Source organism: Homo sapiens, chromosome 21, assembly GCF_000001405.40.
Source record: "Homo sapiens chromosome 21, GRCh38.p14 Primary Assembly".
Classification (NCBI taxonomy): domain Eukaryota; kingdom Metazoa; phylum Chordata; class Mammalia; order Primates; family Hominidae; genus Homo; species Homo sapiens.
In genome coordinates this window covers 10776905-10803188 of record NC_000021.9, presented here as the reverse complement: position 1 = coordinate 10803188, position 26284 = coordinate 10776905, and the positions used below count along the sequence as shown (strand labels likewise).

Here is a 26284-nt window from a genome sequence, read left to right as displayed (position 1 = left end):
AGAACCTGCAAAGTGATATTGGTGAATGCTTTGATGCTTATGGTGCAAAAGGAAATATCTTCATATAAACACTAGACTCATGTTTTCTGGGAAACTTCTTTGTGATGGGTGTATGCATCTCAAAGACTTGAATCTTTCTTTTGATTGAGCAGTTTGGAAACAGTCTTTTTGGAGAATCTGTAAATGGATGTTTTTGAGTGGTTTGAGGCATGTGATGAAAAAGGAAATATCTTCATATAAAAACTAGACAGAAGCATTCTGAGAAACCACTTTGCGATGCATGCATTCATCTCACAGAGTTTAATTTTCTTTCATTGAGCAGATAGGAAACAGTCTTTTTGTAGAATAAGCAAAGCGATATTTGTGAGCTTTCTGAGGCCTATTGTGAAAAAGGAAATATCCACAAATAAAATCTAGACAGAATCCTTCTGAGAAACTTCGTAGTGATGTGTGCATTCATCACACAGAATTGAACCTTTCTTTTGATTGAGCAGTTTGGAAACAGTCTTTTCATAGAATCTGCAAAGGAAAATTTGGGAACACTTTCAGGCTTATGGTGAAAAAAAGTGTCTTCACATAAAAACTAGACAGAAACATTCTGAGAAACTTCTTTTTGATGTGTGCATTCATCTCACACAGCTGAACTTTCATTTGAGTGAGCAGTTTGGAAACAGTCCTATTGTAGAATCTGCAAAGGGTTATTTATGAGCTGTTTGAGGCCTATGGTGAAAAAGGGAATATCGACAAATAAAAACTAGACAGAAACTTTCTGAGAAACTTCTCTCTGATATGTGCATTCATCTCACAGAGTAGAAGCTTTCTTTGATTGAGCCGTTTGGAAACAGTCTTTTTGTAGAATCTGCAAAGGGTTATATATAGGCGGTTTCAGGTCTATGGTGAAAAAGGAAATATCTACACATAAAAACTAGACAGAAGATTTCTGAGAAAATTCTTTGAGATGTGCACATTCATCTCACAGATTTGAAGTATTCTTTTCCTTGACCAGTTTGGATAGAGTCTTTTTGTAGAATCTGCTTTGCGATATATGTGAGCCCTTTGAAGCCTATGGTGAAAAAAGTAATATCTTCACACAAAAACTAGACAGAAGCTTTCTGAGAAACTTCTTTGTGATGTGTGCATTCATCGCAAAAGTTGAACCTGTCTTTGGATTGAGCAGTTTGGAAACAGTCCTTTGTAGAATGTACAAAGGGATATTTGGGATCCCTTTTTGGCCTATGGTGAAAAAGGAAATGTCTTCAGATAAAAACTAGACAGAAGCATTCTGAGAAACTTCTTTGTGATGTGTGCATTCACCTCACAGAATTGAAGCTTTCTTTTGATTGAGTAGTTTGGAAACAGTCTTTTTGTAGAATCTGAAAAGGGTTATTTATGAGTGGTTTGAGGTCTATGGTGAAAAAGGGAGTATCAACAAATAAAAAGTAGACAGAAACTTTCTGAGAAACTTCTCTGTGATGTGTGCATTCATCTCACAGAGTGGAAGCTTTCTTTGATTGAGCAGTTTTGTAACAGTCTTTTTGTAGAATTTGCAAAGGGATATATGTAGACAGTTTGAGGTCTATGGTGAAAACGGAAATATCTTCACATAAAAACTAACTGCTTAATGGGAAGAAATTTTTACTTCTGTGTGATAAATGCACATGTCACAAATGAGTTACTCAGAAAACTTCTTTCTACTTTTAATATGAAGATATTTCCTTTTTCACCATATGCCTCAATGCACTCACAGATATCCCTTTGCAGATTCTACAAAAAGATTGTTTCCAAACTGCTCAATAAACAGAATGATTCAACCCTGTGAGACGAATGTGTACATCACAAAGAAGTTTCTCAGAAAACTTCCTTCTCAGTTTTATTTGAAGATATTTCCTTTTTGAACATAGGCCTCAATGCACTCCCAAATATACCTTTGCAGAGTCTACAAAAAGACTGTTTCCAAACTGCTCAATCAAAAGAAAGTTTCAACTCTGTTAGATGAATGCACTCATCAGAAAGTAGTTTCTCAGTAAGCTTCTCACTAGTTTTTATATGAAGATACTTCCTTTTTCAACATGGGTCTCAAAGCACTCAAAAATATCCCTTTGCAGACTCTAGAATAACAGAGTTTACAAACTGCTCAATGAAAAGAAATGTTTACATCTGTGAGATGAGTACACATATCTTAAAGCAGCTTCTCAGAATGCTTCTTTCTAGCTTTTATGTGAAGATATTTCCTTTTCCACCATAGGCCTCAACTTGCTCCTAAATATCCCTTTGCAGATTCTACAAAAAGACTGTTTCCATACTGCTCTATCAAAAAAAAAAATGTTAAACTCTATGAGATAAATGCACACATCACAAAAAGTTTCTCAGAAAACTTTTGTCTAGTTTTTATGTGAATATATTTCCTTATTCATCATAAGCCTCAAAGCTCTACAAATATCCCTCTGCAGATTCTACAAAAAGACTGTTTGCAAACTGCTCAATCCAAAGAATATTTCACCTCTGTGTGATGAATGCACACATCCAAAGAAGTTTCTCAGAAACTTTCTTTATGGTTTTTCCCTGAAGATATTTCCTTTTTCAACATAGACCTCAAAGACATCACAAATATCCCTTTGCAGATTCTACAAAAAGACTGTTTCCAAGCTGCTCAATAAAAAGAATTATTGAACACTGTCAGATGAATGCACACAGCTCAAAGAAGTTTCTCAGAATCCTTCAGTCTAGTTTTTATGTGAATATATTTCCTTTTTCACGATAGGCCTCAAAGTGCTCCAAATATCCGTTTGCAGAGTCTACAAAAAGACTGTTTCCAAACGGCTCAATCAAAACAAAGGTTCAACTCTGTGTGATGAATGCACACATCACGAAGTAGTTTCTCATAATGCTTCTGTCCAGTTTTTCACCGTAGGTCTCAAAGTGCTCACAAATATCTCTTTACAGATTCTACAAAAATACTTCTTCCAAATTGCTCAATCAAAAGAAAGGTTCAACTCTGTGAGATGTATGCACACCACAAAGAGGTTTCTCAGAAAGCTTCTCTCTAGTTTTTATGTGAAGATATTTCCTTTTTCACCATAGGCCTCAAAGCATTCACAAATATCCCTTTGCAGATTCTACAAAAAGACTCTTTACACATGGCTCAATCAAAAGAATGTTTCAACTCTGTGAGGTGAATGCTCACATCACGAGGATGTTTCTCAGAAAGCTTCTGTGTAGTTTTTATGTGAAGATATTTCCTTTTTCACCATACACCTCAAAGGGCTCACAAATATCCCTTTGCAGATCTTACAAGAAAAGAGTTTCCAATCTTCTCAATGAAAAGAAACAGACACATCTGGGAGATGAATGTACATATCACAAAGCAGTTTCTGAGAAACATTCTGTCTAGTTTTTATGTGAAGGTATCTCCTTTTCCACCACAGGATGTAAAGCACTCAAAATTGTCCCTTTGCAGATTCTACAAAAAGATTGTTTCCACACTGCTCATCAAAAGAAAGGTTCAACTCTGTGAGATGAATGCACATGTCAAAAAGTGGTTTCTCAGAAATCTTCTATTAATTTTTTATGTGAATGTTTCCTTTTTCCCCATGAGCCTCAAGGTGCTCAGAAGTATCCACTTGAAGAATATTTAAAAAGACTGTTTCCAAACTGCTCAATCAAAAGAAAAGTTGAACTGTGTGAGATGACTGCACACATCACAAAGAAGTTTCTCAGAAACCTTCTTTATAGTTTTTCTGTGAAGATATTTCCTTTTTCACCATAGGCCTCAAAGCCCTCACAAATATCTCTTTGCAGATTCTACAAAAAGATTGTTCCAAATCGCTCAATAAAAAGAATTATTGAACTTTGTGAGATGAATGCACACATCTCAAAGAAGTTTCTCACAAACTTTCAGTCTGATTTTTATGTGAATGTATTTCATTTTTCACCATAGGCCTCAAAGTGCTCCAAATATCCATTTGCAGAGTCTACAAAAAGACTGTTTCCAAACGGCTCAATGAATAGAAAGTTTCAACTCTGAGATGAATCCACAAATCACTAAGAAGTTTTGCAGGAAGCTTCTGTCTAATTTTTATATGAAGACATTTCCTTTTTCACCATAGGCCTCCATCTGCTCACAATTATCCCTTAGCAGATTCTACAAGAACAGAATTTCCAGACTGATCAAACAAAACAAACGTTTTTCTCTGTGTGGTGAATGCACACATCACAAAACTGTTTCTCAGAAACCTTCTTTATACTTTTTATGTGATGATAATTCTTTTTTCTCCCTAGGACTCAAAGTGCTCAAAAATATCCCTTTGCAGATTCTACAAAAAGATTGTTTCCAAAGTGCTTAATCAAAAGAATAGTTCAACTCTGTGAGATGAATGTGTACATCACAGAGAAGTTTCTCAGAAACTTCTTTTTAGTTTTTACGTGAAGATATTTCCTTTTCCACCACAGGCTTCAAAGTGCTCAGGAATATCCCTTTGTAGATTCTGCAAAAAGACTGCTTCGCAACTGCTCAATCAAATAAATGGTTGAACTTTGTGAGATGGATGCACACATCTCAAAGAGGTTTCTCAGAAATCTTCTGTCCATTTTTTATGTGAAGATATTTCCTTTTTCACCATAGCACTACAAGTCGTGACAAGTATCCCTTGCAGATTCTATAAAAACACTGTTTCCAGACTGCTCAATCAAAAGAATGGTTCAACTCTGTGAGATGATTGCACACATCACAAAGAAGCCACTAAGAAAGCTTCTGTCTAGTTTTTATGTGAAGATATTTCCTTTTTCACCATAGGCCTCAAAGCACTCACAAATATCCCTTTGCAGATTCTACAAGAACAGTTTCCTGACTGATCACAGAAAATAAACGTTTACCTCTCTGAGATCAATGCACACACCACAAAGCTGTTTCTAAGAAACCTTCTTTATACCTTTTATATGAATATATTTCCTTTTTCACCATTGGCCTCAAAGCTCTCATAAATATCCCTTTGCAGATTCCACAAACAGACGGTTTCCATACTGCTCAATCAAAAGTAAGTTTCAACTTTGTGAGATGAATGCCCACATCACAAAGAGGTTTCTCAGAAAGCCTCTCTCTAATTTTTATGTGAAGATATTTCCTTTTTCACCATAGGCCTCAAAGCACTCACAATTATCCCTTTGCAGAATCTACAAGAACAGTTTCCAGACAGATCAGAGAAAAGAAACGTTTACTTCTGTGAGATGAATGCATAAATCATAAAGCTGTTTCTGAGAAACCTTGTTTATACTTTTTATGTGAATACATTTCCTTTTTAACCATAGGCCTCAAAGCACTCATAAATATCCCTTTGCAGATTCTACAAAAAGAGTGTTTCCAAACTGTTCCATCAAAAGAATGGTTGAACTCTACGAGATGAATGCACACATCACAAAGAAGTTTCTCAGAAAGTTTCTGTCTAGTTTTTATGTGAAGATATTTCCTATTTCATCATAGGCCTCATACCACTCAAAAATATGCCTTTACAGATTCTACAAAAATACTGTTTCCAAATTGCTCAATCCAAAGAAAGTTTCAAATCTGTGAGACGAATGCACACATCACAAGGAGGTTTCTCAGAAAGCTTCTCTCTAGTTTTCATGTGAAAATATTTCGTTTTCACCATAGGCTTCAAAGCATCACAAATATCCATTTGCAGATTCTACCAAAATACTGTTTACAAACTGCCCAATCAAAAGAATGTTTCAACTCTGTGAGATGAATTCTCGCATCTCCAAGATGTTTCACAGAAAGCTTCCGTCTAGTTTTTATGTGAAGATAATTCCTTTTTCACCATAGGCCTCAAAGTGCTGACAAATATCCCTTTGCAGATTTTACAAGAACAGAATTTCCAATCTGTTCATTGAAAAGAAATGGTTACTTCTGTGAGATGAAAGCAAACATCACAAGGCAGTTTCTCAGAAATATTCTGTCTAGTTTTTATTTAAAAATAATTCCTTTTCCAACATAGGACACAAAACACTAACTAATAACCCTTTGGAAATTCTACCAAATACTGCTTCCAAAATGCTCATCAAAAGAAAGGTTCACCTCTGTGGGATAAATGCAAACATCAAAAAGATGATTCTCAGAAAGCATCTATCTTGTTTTTATGTGAAAGTGTTTCCTTTTTCACCATGGGCCTCAAAGTGCTCAAAAATATCCCTTTGCAGATCCTAAAAAAAGACTGTTTCCAAACCGCTGAGTCAAAGGAATGGTTCAACTCTGTGAGATGAATGCACACATCATAAAGAAGTTTCTCACAAACCTTCTTTATAGTTTTTATGTGAAGATATTTCCTTTTAACCATAGAACTCAAAGTGCTCACAAATATCCCTTTGCAGATTCTATAAAAACGTGGTTTCCCAACTGCTCCATCAAAAGAATTGTTGAACTCTGTGAGATGAATGCATACATCACAAAGCAGTTTCTCAGAAATCTTTAGTCTAGTTTTTTTGTGAAGATAATTTCTCTTTCACCATAGGCCTCAAAGTGATGAGAAATATCCCTTTACAGATTCTACAAAAAGACGTTTCTAAACTGCTTAATCAAAAGAAAGTTTCATTTCTGTGAGATGAATGCACATATCACCAAGAAGTTTCTCACTAGGCTTCTGTCTAGTTTTCATGTGAAGACAATATCTTTTTCACAATAGGGCTCTAGGCACTCAAAAATGTCCCTTAGCAGATCCTACAAGAACAGAGTTTCCCAACTGATCAAAGAAAATAATTGTTTACCTCTGTGAGATGAATGCAGACATCAAAAAACAGTTTCTCAGAAACCTTCTTTATAGTTTTCTGTGAAGATACTTCTTTTCCTGCATAGGCCTCAAAGTGCTCACAAATATCCGTTTGCAGATTCTTCAAAAAGACTGTTTCCAAAGGGCTAAATTAAAAGAGACATTCAAATCTGTGAGATGAATGCACATATCACAAAAAAGTATCTTGGAAACTTTCTGCATACTTTGAATGTGAAGATATTTCCTTTGTCACAATAGGCCTCAAAGTGCTCAAAAATACCCCCTTTGAGATTGTACAAGAACACAGTTTCCAGACTGATAGGAGAAAAGAAACACTTACCTCTGTGAGATGAATGCACACATCACAAGGTTGTTTTTAGAAAACCTGCTTTATAGTTCTTATGTGAAGATATGTCCTTTTCCACCATAGGATTCACCGCGCTCCAAATATCCAATGGCAGACTCTACAAAAAGAGTGTTTCCAAACTGCTCAACAAAAAGTAAGTTCATCTCTCTGAGATGAATACACACAACACAAAGAAGTTTCTCAGAATGCTTCTGTCTAGTTTTCATTGCAGATATTTCCTTTTCCACCATAGGCATCAAAGCACTCTAAATATCCACTTGCAGATTCTACAAAAAGAGTGTTTCAAAACTGCTCAATCAAAAGAAAGTTTCAACTCTGAGAGCTGAAAGCACACATCACAAAGAAGTTTCTCAAAATGATTCCCTGTAGTTTTCATGTGAAGATATTTCCTTTTCCACAAGAGGCCGCAAAGCGATCCAAATATCCAATTGCAGATTCTACAAAAAGTGTGTTTCAAAACTGCCCAATCAGAATAAAGTTTGAACTCTGTGAGTAGAATACACACATCACAAAGTACTTTCTCAGAATGCTTCTGGCTAGTTTTTAAGGGAAGATATATTCTTTTGCACTGTATGTCTCAAAGAGATCCAAATATCCACTTGCAGATTCTACAAAAAGAGTGTCTCAAAACTGCTCAATGAAAAGAATGGTTCAACTCTGTGAGATGAATGCACACATCACAAAGAAGTTTCTCTGAATGCTTCTGTCTAGTTTTTATGTGCAGATATTTCCTTTTCCACTATAGGCCTCAAAGCTGTCCAAATACAAATTTGAAGATGGTACGAAAAGAATGTATCCAAACTGCTCAATAAAAGACATGTTCAACTCGGTGAGTTGAATGCACACATCACAGAAAAGTTTCTCAGAATGCTTCTGTCTAGTTTTTATGTGAAGATATTTCCTTTTCCACCATAGGCCTCAAAGCGCTCTAAATATCCAACTGCTGATTCTACGAAAAGAGTGCTTCAAAACTGCTCAATCAAAAGAAATGTTCAACTCTGTGAGTTGAATGTACACATCACAAAGAAGTATCTTAGAATGATTCTGTCTAGTTCTTATGTGAAGATATTTCCTTTTCTATCATGGCTTCAAAGTGCTCCACATATCCACTTGGAGACTCTACAAAAAGAGTGTTTCAAAACTGCTCAATCAAAAGAAAGGTTCAACTCTGTGAGATGAATGCACACATCATGAAGAAATTTCTCAGAATGCTTCTGTCTAGATTTTATGTGAAGATATTTCCTTTTCCAACAGAGGCTGCAAAACACTCGAAATATCCACTTGCAGATTCTAAAAAAAGAGTGATTCAAAACTGCTCAATCAAAAGAAAGACTCAAATCTGTGAGTTGAACACACACAACACAAAGAACTTTGTCAGAATGCTTCTCTGTAGTTTTTATGTGAAGATATTTCCTTTCCTACCATAAGCCTCAAAGTGCTCCAAATATCCACTTGCACACTCTACAAAAAGAGTGGTTCAAAACTGCTCAATCAAAAGAAAGGTTGAACTCTGCGAGATGAATGCACACATCACAAAGAAGTTTCTCAGAATGCTTCTCCGTAGTTTTTATGTGAAGATATATCCTTTTCCGCAGTAGGCCACAAAGCACTCCAAATATCCACTTGCAGATCCTAAAAAAAGTGTGTTTCAAAACTGCTCAATCAAAAGAAAGGTTCAACTCTGTGTGTTGAATGCACACATCACAAACCAATTTCTCAGAATGCTTCTGTGTAGTTTTCACGTGAAGATATTTACTTTTCTACAATAGGCCTCAAAACGCTCCAAGTATCCAATTGGAGATTCTACAAAAAGAGTGCTTCAAAACTGCTCAATCAAAAGAAAGCTTCAACTCTGTGAGATGAATGCACACATGACAAAGAAGTTTCTCAGAATGCTGTTGACTAGTTTTTATGTGAAGATATTGCCTTTTCCACTTAAGGCCACATAGCGCTCCAAATATCCACTTACAGATTCTACAAAAGGAGTCTTTCAAAACTGCTCAATCAAAAGAAGGATTGCACTCTTTGAGTTAAATGCACACATCACAAAGAAGTTTCTCAGAATGCTTCTGTGTACTATTTATGTGAAGATATTTCCTTTTCCACTGTAGGCCTCAAAGCGTTCCAAAAATCCACTGGCAGATTTTACAAAAAGAGTGTTTCAAAACTGTTGAATCAAAAGAAAGGTTGAACTCTGTGGGTTGAATGCACACATCACAAAGAAGTTTCTCAGAATGATTCTGTTTAAATTTTATGTGAAAATATTCCATTTTCCACCATAGGCCTCGATGTGCTCCAAATATCCACTTGCAGATTCTACAAAAAATGTGTTTCCAAACTGCTCAACCAAAAGAACGGTTCAACTCTGTGAGATGAAACCACATATCATAAAGAAGTTTCTCAGAAATTTTCTGTCTAGTTTTTTTGTGAGAATATTTCCTATTTCATCCATAGGCATCAATGGTCTGAGAAATATCCCTTCACAGATTCTACATAAGGACTGTTTCCAAACTGCTGAATCGAAAGAAATGTTCAACTCTTTGTGATGAATGTGCACATCACAAAGAAGTTTCTCAGAATGATTCTATCTAGTTTTTATGTGAAGATATTTCATTTTCCACTATAGGCCACAAAGCACTCCAAATATCCACTTGCAGATTCCCCATAAAGAGTGTTTCCAAACTGCTCAATCAAAGGAAATTTACAACTCTGTGAGATGAAAGAACACATCATAAAGAAGTTTCTCAGAAAGCTCCTGTCTAGTTTTTATGTGAAGATATTTTATGTTTCACCATAGTCCAGAAGGTGCTCAAAAATAGCCCTTTGCAGATTCTACACAAAGACTGTTTCCAAACTTCTGAACCAAAATAAAGGTTCAACTCTGTGAGATGAAAGCACATATCTCAAAGAAGTTTCTCAGAAACGTTCTGTCTGGTTTTTATGAGAAGTTATTTCCTATTTCACCATAGGCCTCAATGGGCTGAGAAATATCCCTTTACAGATACTGCAAAAGGACTATTTCCAAACTGCTCAATCCAAAGAAAGTTTCACCTCTTTGAGTTGAATGCATACATCACAAAGAAGTTTCTCAGAATGCTTCTGCCTAGTTTTTATGTGAAGATATTTCCTTTTTCACCATAGGCCTTAAACTGCTCTCAGATATCCCTCTGCAGATACTACAAAAAGACTGTCTCCAAACTGCTCCATCAAAAGTAAAGTTCACCTCTCTGAGATGAAAGGATACCTCTCAAAGAAGTTTCTCAGAATACTTTTGTCTAGTTTTTATGTGAAGATATTTCTTTTTTGATATAGGCCTCCAACTTCTCAGAAATATCCCATTCCAGATTGTACAAAAAGATTGTTTCCAAACTGCTCAATGAAAAGAAACGTTCAACTCTGTGAGATGTATGCATGCATCAAAAAGAAGTTTCTCAGAAAGCTTCTGTTTATATTTCATGTGAAGGTATTTCCTTTTTCACCATAAGCCTCAAAGCACTCCAAATATCCATTTGCAGATTCTACAAAAAGACTGTTTCCAAACTGATCAATCAAAAGAAAGTTTCAAATCTGTGACATGAAAGCACACATCACTAAGAAGTTTATCAGAAAGCTTCTGTCTAGTTTTTATGTGAAGATATGTCCTTTTTCACCATAGGCATCAATGGGAACAGAAATATCCCTTTGCAGATCCTACAAAAAGACTGTTTCCAAACTGCTCAATCAAAGGAATGGTTCAACTCTGTGAGATGAAACCACATATCACAAAGAAGTTTCTCAGAAATCCTCTGTCTAGTTTTTATGTGAAGATATTTCCTATTTCATCCATAGGCCTCAATGGGCTCAGAAATATACCTTCACAGATTCTACAAAACGACAGTTTCCAAACTGCTCAATCCAAAGACAGCTTCAACTCTTTGAGATGAATGCACACAATACAAAGAAGTTTCTTAGAATGCTTCTACCTAGTTTTTATGTGAAGATATTTCCTTTTTCACCACAGGCCTTAAACTGCTCTCACATATCCCTCTTCAGATACTACAAAAAGATTGTTTCCAGACTGCTCCATCAAAAGAAAAGTTCAAATCTGTGAGATGAATAGATACATCACAAAAAATTTTCTCAGAATACTTCTGTCTACATTTTATCTGAAGATATTTCTTTTTCACCATAGGCCTCCAACTTCGCAGAAATTTCCTTTGCAGACTGTACAAAAAGACTGTTTCCAAACTGCTCAATGAAAAGAAAGTTTCACCTCTGTGAGATGTATGAACTCATAAAAAAGAAGTTTCTCAGAAAGCTTCTGTTTAGATTCCATGTGAAGATATGTCCTTTTTCACCATAGGCATCAAAGCGCTTGACATATCCTTTGCAGATTCTACAAAAACACTGTTTCCAAACTGCTCAATCAAAAGAAAGGTTCAAACATGTGAGATGAAAGCACACATCACTAAGAAGTTTCTCAGAATGCTTCTGTCTAGTTTTTAAGTGAAGATATTTCTTCTTTCACCATAGGTCTCAATGGGCTCAGAAATATCCCTTTGCAGATCCTACAAAAGGACTGTTTCCAAACTGCTGAATCAAAACAAAGTTTCAACTCTGTCAGTTGAATGCACACATCACAAAGCAGTTTCTCAGAATCTTCTGACTAGGTTTTATATGAAGATATTTCCTTTCTCACCAAAGTCCTCAAAATGCTCACAAATATCTCTCTGCAGATACTATAAAAGACTGTTTCCAAACTGCTCAATCAAAAGAAAGGTTCAACTCTGTGAGATGAATGCACACATCACAAAGATGTTTCCAGAATGCTTCTGTCTGGTTGTTATGTGAAGATATTTCCTTTTTCACCACAGGCCTCAAAGCGCTCCAAATATCCATTTGCAGATCCTACTAAAAGAGAGTTTCTAAATTGCTCAATCAAAAGGTAGTTTCATCTCTGTGAGATGAAAACACACATCCCAAAGAAGTTTCTCAGAAAGCTTCTGTTTATTTTTTATGTGAAGATATTTCCTAATTCACCATAGGCCTAAATCGGCTAAGAAGTATCCCTTTGCAGATTGTAGAAAAATACTGTTTCCAAACTGCTGAATCAAAAGAAAAGTTGAACTGTGTGAGATGAATGCACACATCACAAAGAAGATTCTCAGAATGCTTCTGTCTAGTTTTTATGTGAAGATATTTGCTTTTCCATCATAGGCCGCAATCGTCACCAAATATCCACTTGCAGATTTTACAAAAATAGTGTTTCAAAACTGCCCAATCTAAAGAAAGGTTCAACTCTGTACGTTGAATGCACACATCACAAAGAAGTTTCTCAGAATGCTTCTGTCTACCTTTTATCCAAAGTTATTTCCTTTTCCACTATACTCGGCAAAGCCCTCCGAATATCCACTTGCAGATTCTACAAAAGAAGTGTTTCAAAATTGCACAATCAAAAGAAAGGTTCAACTCTGGGAGTTGTATGCGCACATCAGAAAGAAGTTTCTCAGAATGCTTTTATGTAGTTTTTATGTGAAGATATTTCCTTTTCCACCATAGGCCCTAAAGCTCTCCAAATATCCACTTTCAGATTATACAAAAAGAGGGATTCAAAACTGCTCAATCAAAAGAAAGGTTCAACTCTGTGAGCTGAAGGCACACAAAACAAAGCCGTTTCTCAGAATGCTTCTCCGTAGTTTTTATATGAAGATATTTCCATTTCCACCATTCTCTCCAAAACGCTCCAAATATCCACTTGCATATTCTATAAAAAGAGTGTTTCAAAACTGCTCAATGAAAAGAAAGTTTCAACTCTGTGAAGTGAATGGACACATCACAAAGACATTTCTCAGAATGCTTCTGTCTAGTGTTTATGTGAAGATATTTCCTTTTCCACCACACGTCTCAAAGCGATCTAAATATGCACTTGCAGATTCTACGAAGAGTGCTTCAAAACTGCTGAATCAAAAGAATGGTTCAAATCTGTGAGATGAACGAACACATCACAAAGAATTTGCTCAAAATGCTTCAATCTAGTTTTTATGAGAAGATAATCCTTTTCCACCATTGGCCCCAATGGGCTCCAAATATCAACTGCAGATACTACAAAAAGTGTTTAAAAAATGCTGAATCAATAGAAAGTTTCAACTCCATGAGATGTATGCACACATAACAAAGAAGTTTCTCAGAATGCTTCTCTCTAGTTTTTATGTGAGGATATTTCCTTCTCCACCATAGGACTCAATGCACTCCAAATATCCACTGGCAGATTCTAGAAAAAGAGCGTTTCAAAACTGCTCAATCAAAAGAAATTTTCAAATTTGTGAGATGAATGCGCACATCACAAAGAAGTTTCTCAGAGTAATTCTGTCTAGTTTTTATGTGAAGATTTTTCATTTTCCACCATACTCATCAAAGCGGTCCAAATATCCACTTGCACATTCTACAAAGAGAGTGTTTCAAAACTGCTCATTCAAAAGAATGGTTCAACTATGTGAGATGAATGCATACATCACAAAGAGGTATTTCAGAATGCTTCTGTGTCGTTTTTATGTGAAGATGTTTCCCCTTACCACCATAGGACTCAAAGCTCTCCAAATATCCACTTACAGATACTCCAAAAAGAGTATTTCAAAAGTGCTCAATCAAAAGAAAGGTTGAACTCTTTCAAATGAAGGCACACATCACAAAGAAGTTTTTCAGAATGCTTCTGTCTAGTTTTTATGTGAATATACATCGTTTTCCACTATAGGCCACAAAGTGCTCCAAACACCCACTTGAAGATTCTACAAAAAGAGTGTTTCAAACGTCCTCAATAAAAAAAGTTACAACTCTGTGAGGTGAATGCACACATCACAAAGAAGATTCTCAGAATGCTTCTGTCTACTTTTTATGTGAAGGTATTTAATTTTCCACCATTGGACGCAAATCGCACCAAATATACACTTGCAGATTTTACAAAAATAGAGTTTCAAAACTGCTCAATCAAAAGAAAGGTTCAACTCTGTGAGTTGAATGCACACATCACAAAGAAGTTTCTCAGAATGCTTCTGTTTAGCTTTATGCAAAGTTATTTCCTTTGCCACTATAGTCTGCGAAGCCCTCCGAGTATCTACTTGCAGTTTCTACAAAAAGAGTGTTTCAAAACTGCACAATCAAAAGAAATGTTCAACTCTGTGAATTGTATGCACACATCACATAGAAGTTTTTCAGAGTGCTTTTTTATAGTTTTTATGTGAAGAAATTTCCTTTTCACCATAGGCCCCAAAGTGCTCCAAATATACACTAGCAGATTCTACAAAAAGAGGGATTCAAAACTGCTCAATCAAAAGAAAGGTTGAACTCTGTGAGTTGAATGCACACATCACAAAGACGTTTCTCAGAATGCTCCTCCGTAGTTTTTATGTGAAGATATTTCCATTTCCACCATTCTCTCCAAAGCGTTCCAAATATCCACTTGCAGATTCTACAAAAAGAGTGTTTCAAAACTGCTCAATCAAATTAAAGGTTCATCTCCTTGAGATGAATGCACAAATCACAAAGAAGTTTCTCAGAAAGCTTCTGTGTAGTTTTTATGTGAAGGTATTTCCTTTTACACCATTGACCACAAAGGGCTCCAAATATTCACTTGCAGATTCTACATAAAGAGAGTTTCAAAACTCGTCTATCAAAAGATAGGTACAACTCTGAGTTCAATACACACATCTCAAAGAAGTTTCTCAGAATGCTTCTGTTTAGTTTTTATGTGAAGATATTTCCATTTCTACAATAGGCCTCAAAGCGCTCCAAGTATCCGCTTGTAGATTTTACTAAAAGAGTGTTTCCAAACTGCTCAATCAAAAGAAAGTTACAAATCTGTGAGGTGAATGAACAAATCACACAGATGTTTCTCAGAATGCTTCTGTGTAGTTTTTAAGTGAAGACATTTCCTTTTCCACAATAGGTCCTAAGCACTAAAAATATCCACTTGCAGATTCTACAAATAGTGGGTTTCAAAACTTCTCAATCAAAAGAAATGTTCACCACAGTGTGTTGAACGAACATGTCGAAAGAAGTTTCTCAAAATGCTTCTGTGTAGCTTTATGTGAAGATATTTCCTTTTTCACCATAGGCCTCAACGTACTCCAAATATCTACTTGCAGATTCTACAAAAAGTGTGTTTCAAAATTCCTCAATCAAAAGAAAGTTGATCTCTGTGAGATGCAGGCACACATTGCAAAGAAGTTTCTCAGAATGCATCTGTGTTGTTTTTATGTGAAGATATTTTCTTTTCCACAGTAGGCCTCGAGGGGCTCCAAATATCCACTTGCAGATTCTACAAAAAGACTGTTTCAAAAATGCTTGGTGAAAAGAAAAGTTCAACTCTCTCAGATGAATGCATACATGAAAATGAAGTTTCTCAGAATGCTTCTGTGTAGTTTTTATGTGAAGATATTTTCTTTTCCACCAGAGGACACCAAGGGCTCCAAATATCCACTTGCAGATTCTACAAAAAGAGAGTTTGGAAACTGTGCAATCAAAAGACAGATTCAAATCTGTGATTTGAATGCACACATCAGAAAGAAGTTTCTCAGAATGCTTCTGTGTAGATTTTGTGTGAAGATATAGCCTTTTCCACCATAGGCCTCAATGCGCTCCAAATGTCCAGTTAGAGATACTACAAAAACAGTTTTTGAAAACTGCTCAATAAAAAGAAAAGTTCAACTCTGTGAGATGAACGCACACATTGCAAAGAAGTTTGTCAGAATGATTCTGTGTTGTTTTCATGTGAATATATTTCCTTTTCCATGATAGGCTTCAAAGCACTCCAAATATCCACTTGCAGATCCTACAAAATAGAGTGTTTCAAAACTGCTCAAACAAAAGAAAGGTTCAACTCTGTGAGATGAATGCACACATCACAATATAGTTTCTCAGAATGCTTCTGTGTAGTTTTTATGTGAAGATATTTCCTTTGCCACAATAGGCCTCAAAGTGCTCCAAATATCCAACTGCAGATTCTACAGAAAGAGTGTTTCAAAACTGCTGAATCAACAGAAAGGTTCAAATCTGTGAGATGAATGCACACATCACAAACCAGTTTCACAGAACGCTTCTCTGTAGATTTTATGTGAAGATATTTCCTTTCTCCACCACAGGCTGCAAAGGGCTCCAAATATACACTTGCTGATTCTACAAAAAGAGTGCTTCAAAAGTGCTCAATAAAAAGAAATGTTCAACTCTGTGAGATGAATGCACACATTGCAAAGAAGTTTCTCAGAAGGCTTCTGTGTAGTTTTTTTGTGAAGATATTTCCTTTTCCAAAATAGGACTCAAAGCCCTCGAAATATCCACTTGCAGAATCTACAAAAAGACTCTTTCAACACTGCTCAATCAAAAGAAAGCTTCAACTCTGTGAGATGAAGGCACACATCACAAAGGAGTTTCTCAGAATGCTTCCGTGTAGGTTTTATGTGAAGATATTTCCTTTTCCAACAAAGGACTCAAAAGGCTCCAAATATCCACTTGCAGGTTCTACAAAAATAGTGTTTCTAAACAGGTCAATCAAAAGAAAGGTTCAACACTGTGAGATTAATGCACGCATCACCAATAAGTTTTTTCAGAATGATTCTGTATAGTTTTTATGAGAAGATATTTCTTTTTCCACCACAGGCAGCAAGGGGCTCTAAATATCCACTTGCAGATTCTACAAAAAGAGATTTTCAAAGCTCCTCAATAAAAAGATAAGTTCAACTCTGTGAGCTGAATGCACACATCAAAAAGAAGTTTCTTTGAATGCTTCTGTGTAGTTTTTATGTGAAGATATTTCCTTTTCCACCTTAGGCCGCAAAAGGCTCCACATATCCACTTGCAGTTTCTAGAAAGAGAATGTTTCCAAACTGGTTAATCAAAACAAAGTTTCAACTGTGTGACTTGAAGGCACACATCACAAAGAAGTTTGACAGAATTCTACTGTGTAGTTTCTATGTGAAGGTATTTCCTTTGCCACAATAGGCCTCAAAGCACTCCAAATATCCACTTGCAGATTCTACAAAAAGAGTTTTTCAAAAATGCTCTATCAAAGCAAAGGTTCAACTCTGTTAGATGAATGCACACATCACAAAGAAGTTTCTCAGAATGCTTCTGTATAGTTTTTGTGTGAAGATGTTTCCTTTTCCACCGTAGGCTGCAAAGGGCTCCAAATATCCACTTGCAGATTCTATGAAAATAGTGCTTCAAAACTGCTCAATCAAAAGACGGGGTCAACACTGTGAGATGAATGCACACGTCACAAAGAAGTTTTTTCAGAATGCTTCTGTGTAGTTTTTATGTGAAGATATTTCCTTTTACACCACAAGGCAAAACGGGCTCCAAATATCCACTTGCAGATTCTACAAAGGAAAGATTCAAAACTGCTCAATCCAAAGATAAGTTCAACTCTGTGAGTTGAAGGCACACATCACAAAGAAGTTTCTCAGAATTCTTCTATCTTGTTTTCATGTAAAGGTATTTCTTTTCAGACCATAGGCCTCAAAGTGCTCCAAATGTCCACTTGCAGATTCTGCAAAAAGAGATTTTCAAAACTGCTCAATCAAAAGAAAGGATCAACTCTGTGAGATGAGTGCACAGATCACAAAGAAGTTTCTCAGAATGCTTCTCTGTAGTTTTTATGTGAAGATATTTCCTTTTCCACTATAGGCCTCAAAACGCTCCAAATAACCACTTAGAAATTCTACAAAAAGAGTGTTTTAAAACTGTTCAATCATAAGATTGGTTCAACCAAGTGAGATGAATGCACACATCGCAAATAAGCTTCTCAGAATGCTTTTGTGTAGTTTTTATTTGAAGGTATTTCCTTTTCCACCATAGACATCAAAGGGCTCCAAATATCGACTTGCAGATTCTACCAAAACAGAGATTCAAAACTGCTCAATCAAAAGATAGGTTCAACTCTGTGAGTTGAATGCACACATCACAAATATGTTTCTCAGAATGCTTCTGTATAGTTTTAATTTGATGATATTTCCTTTTCACATTAGGACTCAAAGCTCTCCAAATATCCACTTGCAGATTCTGCTAAAAGAGAGATTCAAAACTGCTCAATCAAAATACAGGATTAACTCCATGAGTTGAATGCACACATCACAAAGAAGTTTCTCAGAATACTTCTGTGTAGTTTTTATGTGAAGATATTTCCTTCATCACAGTAGACCCCAAACCACTCCAAGTATCCACTTGCAGATTCTACGAAAAGAGTGTTTCAAAACTGCTCAATCAAAAGATAGGTTCAACTCTGTGAGTTGAAAGCACACATCACAAAGAAGTTTCTCCGAATGATTCTGCATAGTTTTTATGCGAAGATATTACCTTTTCAACAATAGGCTTCAAATCCCTCCAAATACCCACTTGCAGATTCTAAAAAAAGAGTGTTTCAAAACTACACAATCAAAAGAAAGTTTCAACTCTGGAAGATGTATGCACACATCACAAAGAAGTTTCTCAGAATGCTTCTATGTAGTTTTTATGTGAAGATATTCGGTTTTCCACATTAGGCCTCAAGGCGCTCCAAATATCCACTTGCATTAGCTGAAAAAACGTGTATCAAAACTGCTCAATCAAAAGAAAAGATCAACAAAGTGAGATGAATGCATACATAACAAAGAAGTTTCTCAGAATGCTTCTGTGTAGTTTTTGTGTGAAGATATTTCCTTTTCTACCATAGGCCTCAAAGTGGCCCAAGTATCCACCTTCAGATTCTACAATAAGAGTGTTTCAAAACCGCTCAATCATAACATAGTTTCAACACTGTGAGATGAATGCACACATCACAAATGTTTCTCAGAATGCTTCTGTGTAATTTTTATTTGAAGATATTTCCTTTTCCAACATCGGCCTCCAAGGTCTCCAAATATCCACTTTCAGATTCTTCAAACAGAGAGATTCAAAACTGCTTAATCAAAAGATAGGTTCCACTCTGTGAGGTGAATGCACACATCACAAAGAAGTTTCTCAGAATGTTTCTGTGTAGTTTTTATAGGAAGATATTTGGTTTTCCACAATAGGCCTCAAATCGCTCCAAATATCCACTTGCAGATACTACAAAAAGCATGTTTCAAAAACTCTCAATCAAAAGAAAGGTTCAACTCTGTGAGATGAATGCACACATCACCAAGAAGTTTCTCAGAATGCTTCTGTGTAGTTTTTATGTGAAGATATTTGCTTTTCCACAGTAGGCCTGAAAGTGCTCCCAGTATCCCACTTGCAGACACCTCAAAAACAGTGTTTCAAGAGTACTCAATCAAAACAAAGGATAAACCCTGTCAGATGAAGGCACTCATCACAAAGAAGGCTCTCAGAATGCTTCTATGTAGTTTTTATGTGAAGATATTTCCTTTTCCACAATAGGTCCCAAAGAGCTCCAAATGTCCACTTGCAGATTCTACAAAAGGAGTGTTTCAAAACTGCCCAATCAAAAGAAAGTTTCAATTCTGTCAGATGAATGCACACATCACAAAGAAGTTTCTCAGAATGCTTCTGTCTAGTTATTATATGAAGATAGTTCGTTATCCACCAAAGGCCTCAAAGCGCTTCAAAGGTAAACTTGCACATTCCACAAAAACAGTGTTCCAAAACTGCTCAAAGCAAAGTAAGTTTCAACTCAGTGGGATGAATGCACACATCAAAAAGCCATTTGTCAGAATTTTTCCGTCTGGTTTTTATGTGATGATATTTTTTTTCCACCATAAGCCTCAAAGCGCTTCAAATGTCCACTTGCAGATTCTATAAAAAGAGAGTTTCAAAACTCCTCAATCAAAACAAAGTTTTAACTCTGTGAGGTGAATGCACACATCACAAAGAAGTTTCTCAGATTGCTTCTGTCTAGATTTCACATGAAGATATTTCCTTTTCCACCATAGGCCTCAAAGTGCTCCAAAAGTCCACTTCCAGATTCTGCAAAAGGAGTGTTTCCAAACAGCTCAATCAAAAGGAATGTTCAACTCTGTGAGATGAATTGACACATCACAAAGAAGTTTCTCAGAATTCTTCTGTCTATTTTTTATGTGAAGGTATTTCCTTTTCTACCAGAGGCCACAAAGCGCTCCAAATGTCCACTTGCAATTTCTACAAAAAGAGTATTACCAAACTATTTAATCAAAAAAAAAGGCTCAACTGTGTGAGATGAACACACATATCACGAAGACGTTTCTCAGAATTCTTCTGTCTAGTTTTTATGTGAAGATATTTACTTTTCCACCATAGGCCTCAAAGCGCTCCAAATGTCCACTTGCAGATCCTACAAAAAGAGAGTTTCAATACTGCTCAATCAAAAGAAAGGTTTAACTCTGTGAGATGAATGCACAGATCACAAAGAAGTTTCTCAGATTGCTTATGTCTAGATTTTATGTGAAGATATTTCCTTTTCTAAAATAGGCCACAAACCGCTCAAAATGTCCACTTGCAGATTCTACAAAAAGTGTTTCCAAACTGCTCAATCAAAAGAAATGTTCAACTCTGTGAGATGAACGCACACATCACAAAGAAGTTTCTCAGAATTCTTCTGTCTTGTTTTTATGTGAAGATATTTACTTTTCCACCATAGGCCTCAAAGCGCTCCAAATGTCCACTTGCAGATCCTACAAAAAGAGAGTTTACATACTGCTCAATCAAAAGAAAGGTTTAACTCTCTGAGATGAATGCACACATCACAAAGAAGTTTCTCAGATTGATTCTGTCTAGATTTTATGTGAAGTTATTTCCTTTTCTACCATAGGCCGCAAGTGCTCCAAATGTCCGCTTGCAGATTCTACAAAAAGTGTGTTTCCAAGCTGCTCAATGAAAGGAAAGCTTCAACTCGATGAAGGCACAAATCACAAAGAAGTTTCCCAGAATGCTTTTGTCTAGTTTTTATGTGAAGATATTTCCTTTTCCACCATAGGCTTCAAAGCCTTCCAAATGACCACTTTCAGATTCCACAAAAAGAGAGTTTCAAAACTGCTCTATCAAAAGAAAGGAATAACTCTGTGAGATGAATGCACACATCAGAAGGAAGTTTTTCAGATTGCTTCTGCTTTGATTTTATGTGAAGATATTTCCTTTTCTAAAATAAGCCACAATGTGCTCCAAACATCCACATGCAGATTCTACAAAAAGATTGTTTCCAAACTGCTCAATGAAAAGAAAGGTTAAACTCTGTGAGATAAACGAACACATCACAAAGAAGTTTTTCAGAATTCTTCTGTCTAGTTTTTGTGAAGATATTTCCTTTTCCACCATAGGCCTCAAAGCTCTCCAAATGTCCACTTCCAGATTCTACAAAAGGAGTGTTTCCAAACTGCTCAATCAAAAGAACGGTTCAACTCTGTGAGATGAAGACACACATCATGAAGAAGTTTCTCAGAATTCTTCTGTCTAGATTTTATGTGAAAATATTTCCTTTTCCAACATAGGCCTCAAAGTGTTCCAAATAACCACTTGCAGATTCTACAAAAAGAGAATTTCAAAACTGCCTAATCAAAAGAAAGGTTTAACTCTGTGAGATGAATGCACACATCATAAAAAGTTGCTCAGATTGCTTCTGTCTAGATTTTATATGAAGATATTTCCTTTTCTTCCATAGGCCGCAAAGCATTCCAAATGTCCACTTCCAGATTCTACAAAAACAGTCTTTCCAAACTGCTGAATTAAAAGAATTGTTCTACTCTGTGAGATGAACACACACATCACAAAAATGTTTGTCAGAATTCTTCTGTCTAGTTTTTATGTGAAGATATTGCCTTTTCCACCATGGGCCTCAAAGCACTCCAAATGTCCACTTGCAGATTCTACAAAAAAAGAGAGTTTCAAAACTGCTCTATCAAAAGAAAGGTTTAACTCAGTGACATGAATGCACACATCACAAAGAAATTTCACAGATTACTTCTGCCTAGATTTTATTGGAAGATATTTCCTTTTTTATAATAGGCCGCAAAGCACACCAAATGTCCACTTGCAGATTCTGCGCAAAGAGTATTTCCAAACTGCTCAATCAAAAGAAAAGTTCAACTCTGTGAGATGAATGAACACATCATAAAGATGTTTCTCAGAATTCTTCTGTCTAGTTTTTATGTGAAGATATTTCCTTTTCCACTGTAGGCCTCAAAGAGCTCCAAATATCCACTTGCAGATTCTACAAAAAGACAGTTTCAAAACTGCTCAATCAAAAGAAAGTTTCGACTCTGTGAAATGAATGAACAGATCACAAAGAAGTTTCTCAGATTGCTTCTGTCTAGATTTTATGTGAAGATATTTCCTTTTCTAACATAGGACACAAAGCGCTACAAGTGTCAACTTGCAGACTCTACAAAAAGAGTGTTTCCAACCTGCTCAATCAAAAATAGTTCATCTCTGTGAGATGAATTGACGCATCACAAAGAAGTTTCTCAGAATTCTTCTTTCCAGTTTTAATGTGAAGATATTTCATTTTCCACCATAGGCCTCATAGCACTCCAAATGTACAATTGCAGATTCTACAAAATGAGTGTTTCCAAACTGCTCCATCAAAAGAAAGTTTTAAAACTGTGAGATGAATGCACATATCACAAATAAGTTTATCAGACTGCTTTTGTCTACATTTTATGTGAAGATATTCCCTTTTCTATAATAGGCCCCAAACAATTCAAGTGTCCACTTGCAGATTCCACAAAAAGAGTGTTTCCAAACTGCTCAATTAAATGTAAGATTCAACTCTGTGAGATGAATGAACACATCACAAAGAAGTTTCTCAGAAATCTTCTGTCTCATTTTTTATGTGAATATACTTCCTTTTCCACCATAAGCCTCAAAGCGCTACAAATGTCCACTTGCAGATTCTACAAAAAGAACGTTTCAAAACTTCTCAATCATAAGAATGGTTCAACTCCGTGAGATGAATGCACACATCAGTAAGTAGTTTCTCAGATTCCTTCTGTCTAGATTTCATGGGAAGATGTTTTCTTTTCTAGCATGGGCCACAAAGCGATCCAAATATCCACTTGCAGATTCTACTAAAAGAGTGTTTCCCAACTGCTCAATCAAAAGAAAGGTTCAACTCTGTGGAATTAAATCACACATCACAAAGAAGTTTCTCAGAATTCTTCTGTCTAGTTTTTATGTGAAGATATTTCATTTTCGACCATTGGCCTCAAGGCGCTCGAAATGCCCACTTGCAGATACTACAAAAAGAATATTTCAAAACTTGTCCATGAAAAGTAAGGTTCAACTCTGTGAGATGCATGCACACATCACAAAGAAGTTTGTCAGAATTCTTCTATCTAGTTTTGATTTGAAGATATTACCTTTTCCACCATAGGCCTCAAAGTGCTCCACTTCCAGATTCTACAAGAAGAGACTGAAGAGAGTTTCAAAACTGCTCTATCAAAAGAAAGTTTTATCTCTGTGAGATGAATGCATACATCACAACGAAGTTTTTTCAGATTTCTTTTGTCTAGATTTTATGTGAAGATATTTCCTTTTCTACCATAGGCCACAAAGCGGTCCAAATTCCCACTTGCAGATTGTACAAAAAGAGTGTTTCCAAACTGCTCAATCAAAATAGAGGTTCAACTCTGTGAGATGACTGCACGCATCACAAAGCAGTTTCTCAGAATTATTCCATATAGTTTTTATGTGAATATATTTCATTTTCGACCATAGGCCTCAAGGCGCTCGAAATGCCCACTTGCAGATTCTACAAAAAGAATATTTCAAAACTGGTCCATCAAAAGTAAGGTCCTACTCTGTGAGATGTAAGCACCCATCACAAAGAGGTTTTTCTGAATTTTTCTGTCCAGTTTTTATGTGAAGATATTAACCTTTTCTACCATAGGACTCAAGGCGCTCCACTTGTAGATTCTACAAAAAGAGAGTTTCAAAACAACTCTATCAAAAGAAAGGTTTAACACTGTGAGATGAATGCATACATCACAGAGAAGTTTCTCAGATTCCTTCTGTCTAGATTTTGTGTGAAGATATTTCCTTTTTTACCAGAGGTCTCAATGTGCTCCAAATATCCACTTGCAGATTCTACAAAAAGAATGTTTCCAAACAGCTCTATCAAAAGAAAAGTTCAACTCTGTGAGATGAATGCACACATCACAAAGAAGCTTCTCAGAATTCCCTGTCTAGTTTTTATGTTCCTTTTCCACCTTAGCTCTCAAAGCACTACAAATGTTCACTTGCAGATTCTACAAAAAGGAGTTTGAAAACTGCTCAATCAAAACCAAGTTTTAAATCTGTGAGATGAATGCACACATCACAAAGAAGTTTCTCTGATTGCTTCTGTCTAGATGTTATGTGAAGATATTTCCTTTCCTACCATAGGCCACAAAGCACTCCCAATGTCCAATTGCAGGTTCTACAAAAAGAATATTTCCAAACTGCTTCATCAAATGAAAGTTTCAACTCTGTTAGATGAATGCACACATCACAGAGAACTTTCTCAGAATTCTTCTGTCTACTTTTTATGTGAAGATATTTCCTTTTCTACCATAGGCCGCAAAACGCTCCAAATGTCCACTTGCAGATTCTACAAGAAGTGTTTCCAAACTGCTCAATCAAAAGAAAGTTTCAACTCTGTGAGATGAACGCACACATCACAAAGAAGTTTCCCAGGTTGCTTCTGTCTAGATTTTATGTGAAGATATTTCCTTTTCTTACATAGGCCAAAAAGCACTCCAAATGTCCACTTGCAGATTCTACAAAAGGAGAGTTTCAAAACTGCTCTATCAAAAGAAAGGTTTAAGTCTGTGAGATGAATTCACACATCACAAAGAAGTTTCTCAGGTTGCTTCTGTCTAGTATTTATGTGATATTTCCTTTTCTACCATGGGCCACAAAGAAATCGAAATGTCTACTTGCACATTCTACAAAAAGTGAGTTTCAAATCTGCACTATCAAAAGAAAGGTTTAACTCTGTGAGATGAATGCCCACATCACAAGGAAGTTTCTCAGATTTCTTCTGTCTAGATTTTATGTGAAGATATTTCCTTTTTTACAATAGGCCGCAAAGCGCTCCAAATGTCCACTTGCAGATTCTACAAAAAGAGTGTTTCCCTACTGCTCTATCAAAGAAAGTTTCAACTCTGTAAGATGAAGGCACACATTATGAAGTAGTTTCTGAAATTTCTTCTGTATAGTTTTTATGTGAAGATATTTCCTGTTCCACCATAGGCCCCAAAGCATTCCAAATATACAGTTGCAGATTCTACAAAAAGGGAGTTTCAAAACTGCTCAATCAAAAGTAAGATTTAACTCTGTGAGATGAACACACACATTACAAAGAAGTTTCTCAGATTGCTTCTGTCTATATTTTATGTGAAGATATTTCCTTTTCTACCATAGGCCACAAAGTGCTCCAAATGTCCACTAGCAGATTCTACAAAAAGAGTGTTTCCAAACTGCTCAATCAAAAGAAAGGTTCAACTCTGTGACATGAACCCTCACATTGCAAAGACATTTCTCAGAATTTTTCTGCCTGGTTTTTATGTGAAGATATTTCCTTTTCCATGATAGGCTTCAAAGCGCTCCAAATGTCCACTTGCAGATTCTACAAAAAGAGAGTTTCAAAACTCCTCAATCAAAAGAAAGCTTTAACTCTTTGAGATGAATGCTCACATCACAAAGAAGTTTCTCAGATTGCTTCTGTCTAGATTTTATTTGAAGATATTTCCTTTTCTGCCATAGGACACAAAGTTCTCCAAATGTCCACTTGCAGATTCTACAAAAAGAGTGTTTCCATACTGCTCAATCTAAAGAAAGGTTCAACATTGTGAAATGAACGCACACTTCACAAAGAAGTTTCTCAGAATTCTACTGTCTAGTTTTTATGTGAAGATATTTCCTTTTCCACCATTGGCCACAAAGCACTCCTAATGTCCATTTGCAGATTCAAATAAAAGAGATTTTCAAAACTGCTCAATCAAAAGAAATTTTTATCTCTGTGAGATGAATGCACCCATCACAAAGAAGTTTCTCAGATTGCTTCTGTCTAGATTTTATGTGAAGATATTTCCTTTTCAACCATAGGCCACATAGCGCTCCATATATCTACTTGCAGATTATACAAAAAGAGGGTTTCTGAACTGCTCAATCAAAAGTAAGATTCAACTCCATGAGATGAACGCACACATCACAAAGAAGTTTCTCAGAATTCTTCTATCTAGTTTTTATGCGCAGATATTTCCTT

At 36.1% G+C, this 26284-nt stretch overlaps 18 annotated features.

The window, feature by feature from the left end:
- Positions 5809-6332: an enhancer, noted in NCBI's record as "OCT4-NANOG hESC enhancer chr21:10715077-10715600 (GRCh37/hg19 assembly coordinates)". NCBI's record gives its function as "activates a minimal SCP1, AML or CMV promoter by ChIP-STARR-seq in primed H9 embryonic stem cells {active_cell/tissue: H9 hESC(primed)}" and the evidence as "EXISTENCE:reporter gene assay evidence [ECO:0000049][PMID:30033119]".
- Positions 6333-6855: an enhancer, noted in NCBI's record as "OCT4-NANOG hESC enhancer chr21:10715601-10716123 (GRCh37/hg19 assembly coordinates)". NCBI's record gives its function as "activates a minimal SCP1, AML or CMV promoter by ChIP-STARR-seq in primed H9 embryonic stem cells {active_cell/tissue: H9 hESC(primed)}" and the evidence as "EXISTENCE:reporter gene assay evidence [ECO:0000049][PMID:30033119]".
- Positions 6856-7378: an enhancer, noted in NCBI's record as "OCT4-NANOG-H3K27ac hESC enhancer chr21:10716124-10716646 (GRCh37/hg19 assembly coordinates)". NCBI's record gives its function as "activates a minimal SCP1, AML or CMV promoter by ChIP-STARR-seq in primed H9 embryonic stem cells {active_cell/tissue: H9 hESC(primed)}" and the evidence as "EXISTENCE:reporter gene assay evidence [ECO:0000049][PMID:30033119]".
- Positions 7379-7901: an enhancer, noted in NCBI's record as "OCT4-NANOG-H3K27ac hESC enhancer chr21:10716647-10717169 (GRCh37/hg19 assembly coordinates)". NCBI's record gives its function as "activates a minimal SCP1, AML or CMV promoter by ChIP-STARR-seq in primed H9 embryonic stem cells {active_cell/tissue: H9 hESC(primed)}" and the evidence as "EXISTENCE:reporter gene assay evidence [ECO:0000049][PMID:30033119]".
- Positions 8426-8948: an enhancer, noted in NCBI's record as "OCT4-NANOG-H3K27ac hESC enhancer chr21:10717694-10718216 (GRCh37/hg19 assembly coordinates)". NCBI's record gives its function as "activates a minimal SCP1, AML or CMV promoter by ChIP-STARR-seq in naive H9 embryonic stem cells {active_cell/tissue: H9 hESC(naive)}" and the evidence as "EXISTENCE:reporter gene assay evidence [ECO:0000049][PMID:30033119]".
- Positions 9473-9995: an enhancer, noted in NCBI's record as "OCT4-NANOG-H3K27ac hESC enhancer chr21:10718741-10719263 (GRCh37/hg19 assembly coordinates)". NCBI's record gives its function as "activates a minimal SCP1, AML or CMV promoter by ChIP-STARR-seq in naive H9 embryonic stem cells {active_cell/tissue: H9 hESC(naive)}" and the evidence as "EXISTENCE:reporter gene assay evidence [ECO:0000049][PMID:30033119]".
- Positions 9996-10519: an enhancer, noted in NCBI's record as "OCT4-NANOG hESC enhancer chr21:10719264-10719787 (GRCh37/hg19 assembly coordinates)". NCBI's record gives its function as "activates a minimal SCP1, AML or CMV promoter by ChIP-STARR-seq in naive H9 embryonic stem cells {active_cell/tissue: H9 hESC(naive)}" and the evidence as "EXISTENCE:reporter gene assay evidence [ECO:0000049][PMID:30033119]".
- Positions 12089-12612: an enhancer, noted in NCBI's record as "OCT4-NANOG hESC enhancer chr21:10721357-10721880 (GRCh37/hg19 assembly coordinates)". NCBI's record gives its function as "activates a minimal SCP1, AML or CMV promoter by ChIP-STARR-seq in primed H9 embryonic stem cells {active_cell/tissue: H9 hESC(primed)}" and the evidence as "EXISTENCE:reporter gene assay evidence [ECO:0000049][PMID:30033119]".
- Positions 12613-13135: an enhancer, noted in NCBI's record as "OCT4-NANOG hESC enhancer chr21:10721881-10722403 (GRCh37/hg19 assembly coordinates)". NCBI's record gives its function as "activates a minimal SCP1, AML or CMV promoter by ChIP-STARR-seq in primed H9 embryonic stem cells {active_cell/tissue: H9 hESC(primed)}" and the evidence as "EXISTENCE:reporter gene assay evidence [ECO:0000049][PMID:30033119]".
- Positions 13136-13658: an enhancer, noted in NCBI's record as "OCT4-NANOG hESC enhancer chr21:10722404-10722926 (GRCh37/hg19 assembly coordinates)". NCBI's record gives its function as "activates a minimal SCP1, AML or CMV promoter by ChIP-STARR-seq in primed H9 embryonic stem cells {active_cell/tissue: H9 hESC(primed)}" and the evidence as "EXISTENCE:reporter gene assay evidence [ECO:0000049][PMID:30033119]".
- Positions 13659-14181: an enhancer, noted in NCBI's record as "OCT4-NANOG hESC enhancer chr21:10722927-10723449 (GRCh37/hg19 assembly coordinates)". NCBI's record gives its function as "activates a minimal SCP1, AML or CMV promoter by ChIP-STARR-seq in primed H9 embryonic stem cells {active_cell/tissue: H9 hESC(primed)}" and the evidence as "EXISTENCE:reporter gene assay evidence [ECO:0000049][PMID:30033119]".
- Positions 14182-14705: an enhancer, noted in NCBI's record as "OCT4-NANOG hESC enhancer chr21:10723450-10723973 (GRCh37/hg19 assembly coordinates)". NCBI's record gives its function as "activates a minimal SCP1, AML or CMV promoter by ChIP-STARR-seq in primed H9 embryonic stem cells {active_cell/tissue: H9 hESC(primed)}" and the evidence as "EXISTENCE:reporter gene assay evidence [ECO:0000049][PMID:30033119]".
- Positions 16292-17098: an enhancer, noted in NCBI's record as "OCT4-NANOG hESC enhancer chr21:10725560-10726366 (GRCh37/hg19 assembly coordinates)". NCBI's record gives its function as "activates a minimal SCP1, AML or CMV promoter by ChIP-STARR-seq in naive H9 embryonic stem cells {active_cell/tissue: H9 hESC(naive)}" and the evidence as "EXISTENCE:reporter gene assay evidence [ECO:0000049][PMID:30033119]".
- Positions 17099-17903: an enhancer, noted in NCBI's record as "OCT4-NANOG hESC enhancer chr21:10726367-10727171 (GRCh37/hg19 assembly coordinates)". NCBI's record gives its function as "activates a minimal SCP1, AML or CMV promoter by ChIP-STARR-seq in naive H9 embryonic stem cells {active_cell/tissue: H9 hESC(naive)}" and the evidence as "EXISTENCE:reporter gene assay evidence [ECO:0000049][PMID:30033119]".
- Positions 17904-18709: an enhancer, noted in NCBI's record as "OCT4-NANOG hESC enhancer chr21:10727172-10727977 (GRCh37/hg19 assembly coordinates)". NCBI's record gives its function as "activates a minimal SCP1, AML or CMV promoter by ChIP-STARR-seq in naive H9 embryonic stem cells {active_cell/tissue: H9 hESC(naive)}" and the evidence as "EXISTENCE:reporter gene assay evidence [ECO:0000049][PMID:30033119]".
- Positions 22949-23468: an enhancer, noted in NCBI's record as "OCT4-NANOG-H3K4me1 hESC enhancer chr21:10732217-10732736 (GRCh37/hg19 assembly coordinates)". NCBI's record gives its function as "activates a minimal SCP1, AML or CMV promoter by ChIP-STARR-seq in naive H9 embryonic stem cells {active_cell/tissue: H9 hESC(naive)}" and the evidence as "EXISTENCE:reporter gene assay evidence [ECO:0000049][PMID:30033119]".
- Positions 23469-23986: an enhancer, noted in NCBI's record as "OCT4-NANOG-H3K4me1 hESC enhancer chr21:10732737-10733254 (GRCh37/hg19 assembly coordinates)". NCBI's record gives its function as "activates a minimal SCP1, AML or CMV promoter by ChIP-STARR-seq in naive H9 embryonic stem cells {active_cell/tissue: H9 hESC(naive)}" and the evidence as "EXISTENCE:reporter gene assay evidence [ECO:0000049][PMID:30033119]".
- Positions 24505-25022: an enhancer, noted in NCBI's record as "OCT4-NANOG hESC enhancer chr21:10733773-10734290 (GRCh37/hg19 assembly coordinates)". NCBI's record gives its function as "activates a minimal SCP1, AML or CMV promoter by ChIP-STARR-seq in naive H9 embryonic stem cells {active_cell/tissue: H9 hESC(naive)}" and the evidence as "EXISTENCE:reporter gene assay evidence [ECO:0000049][PMID:30033119]".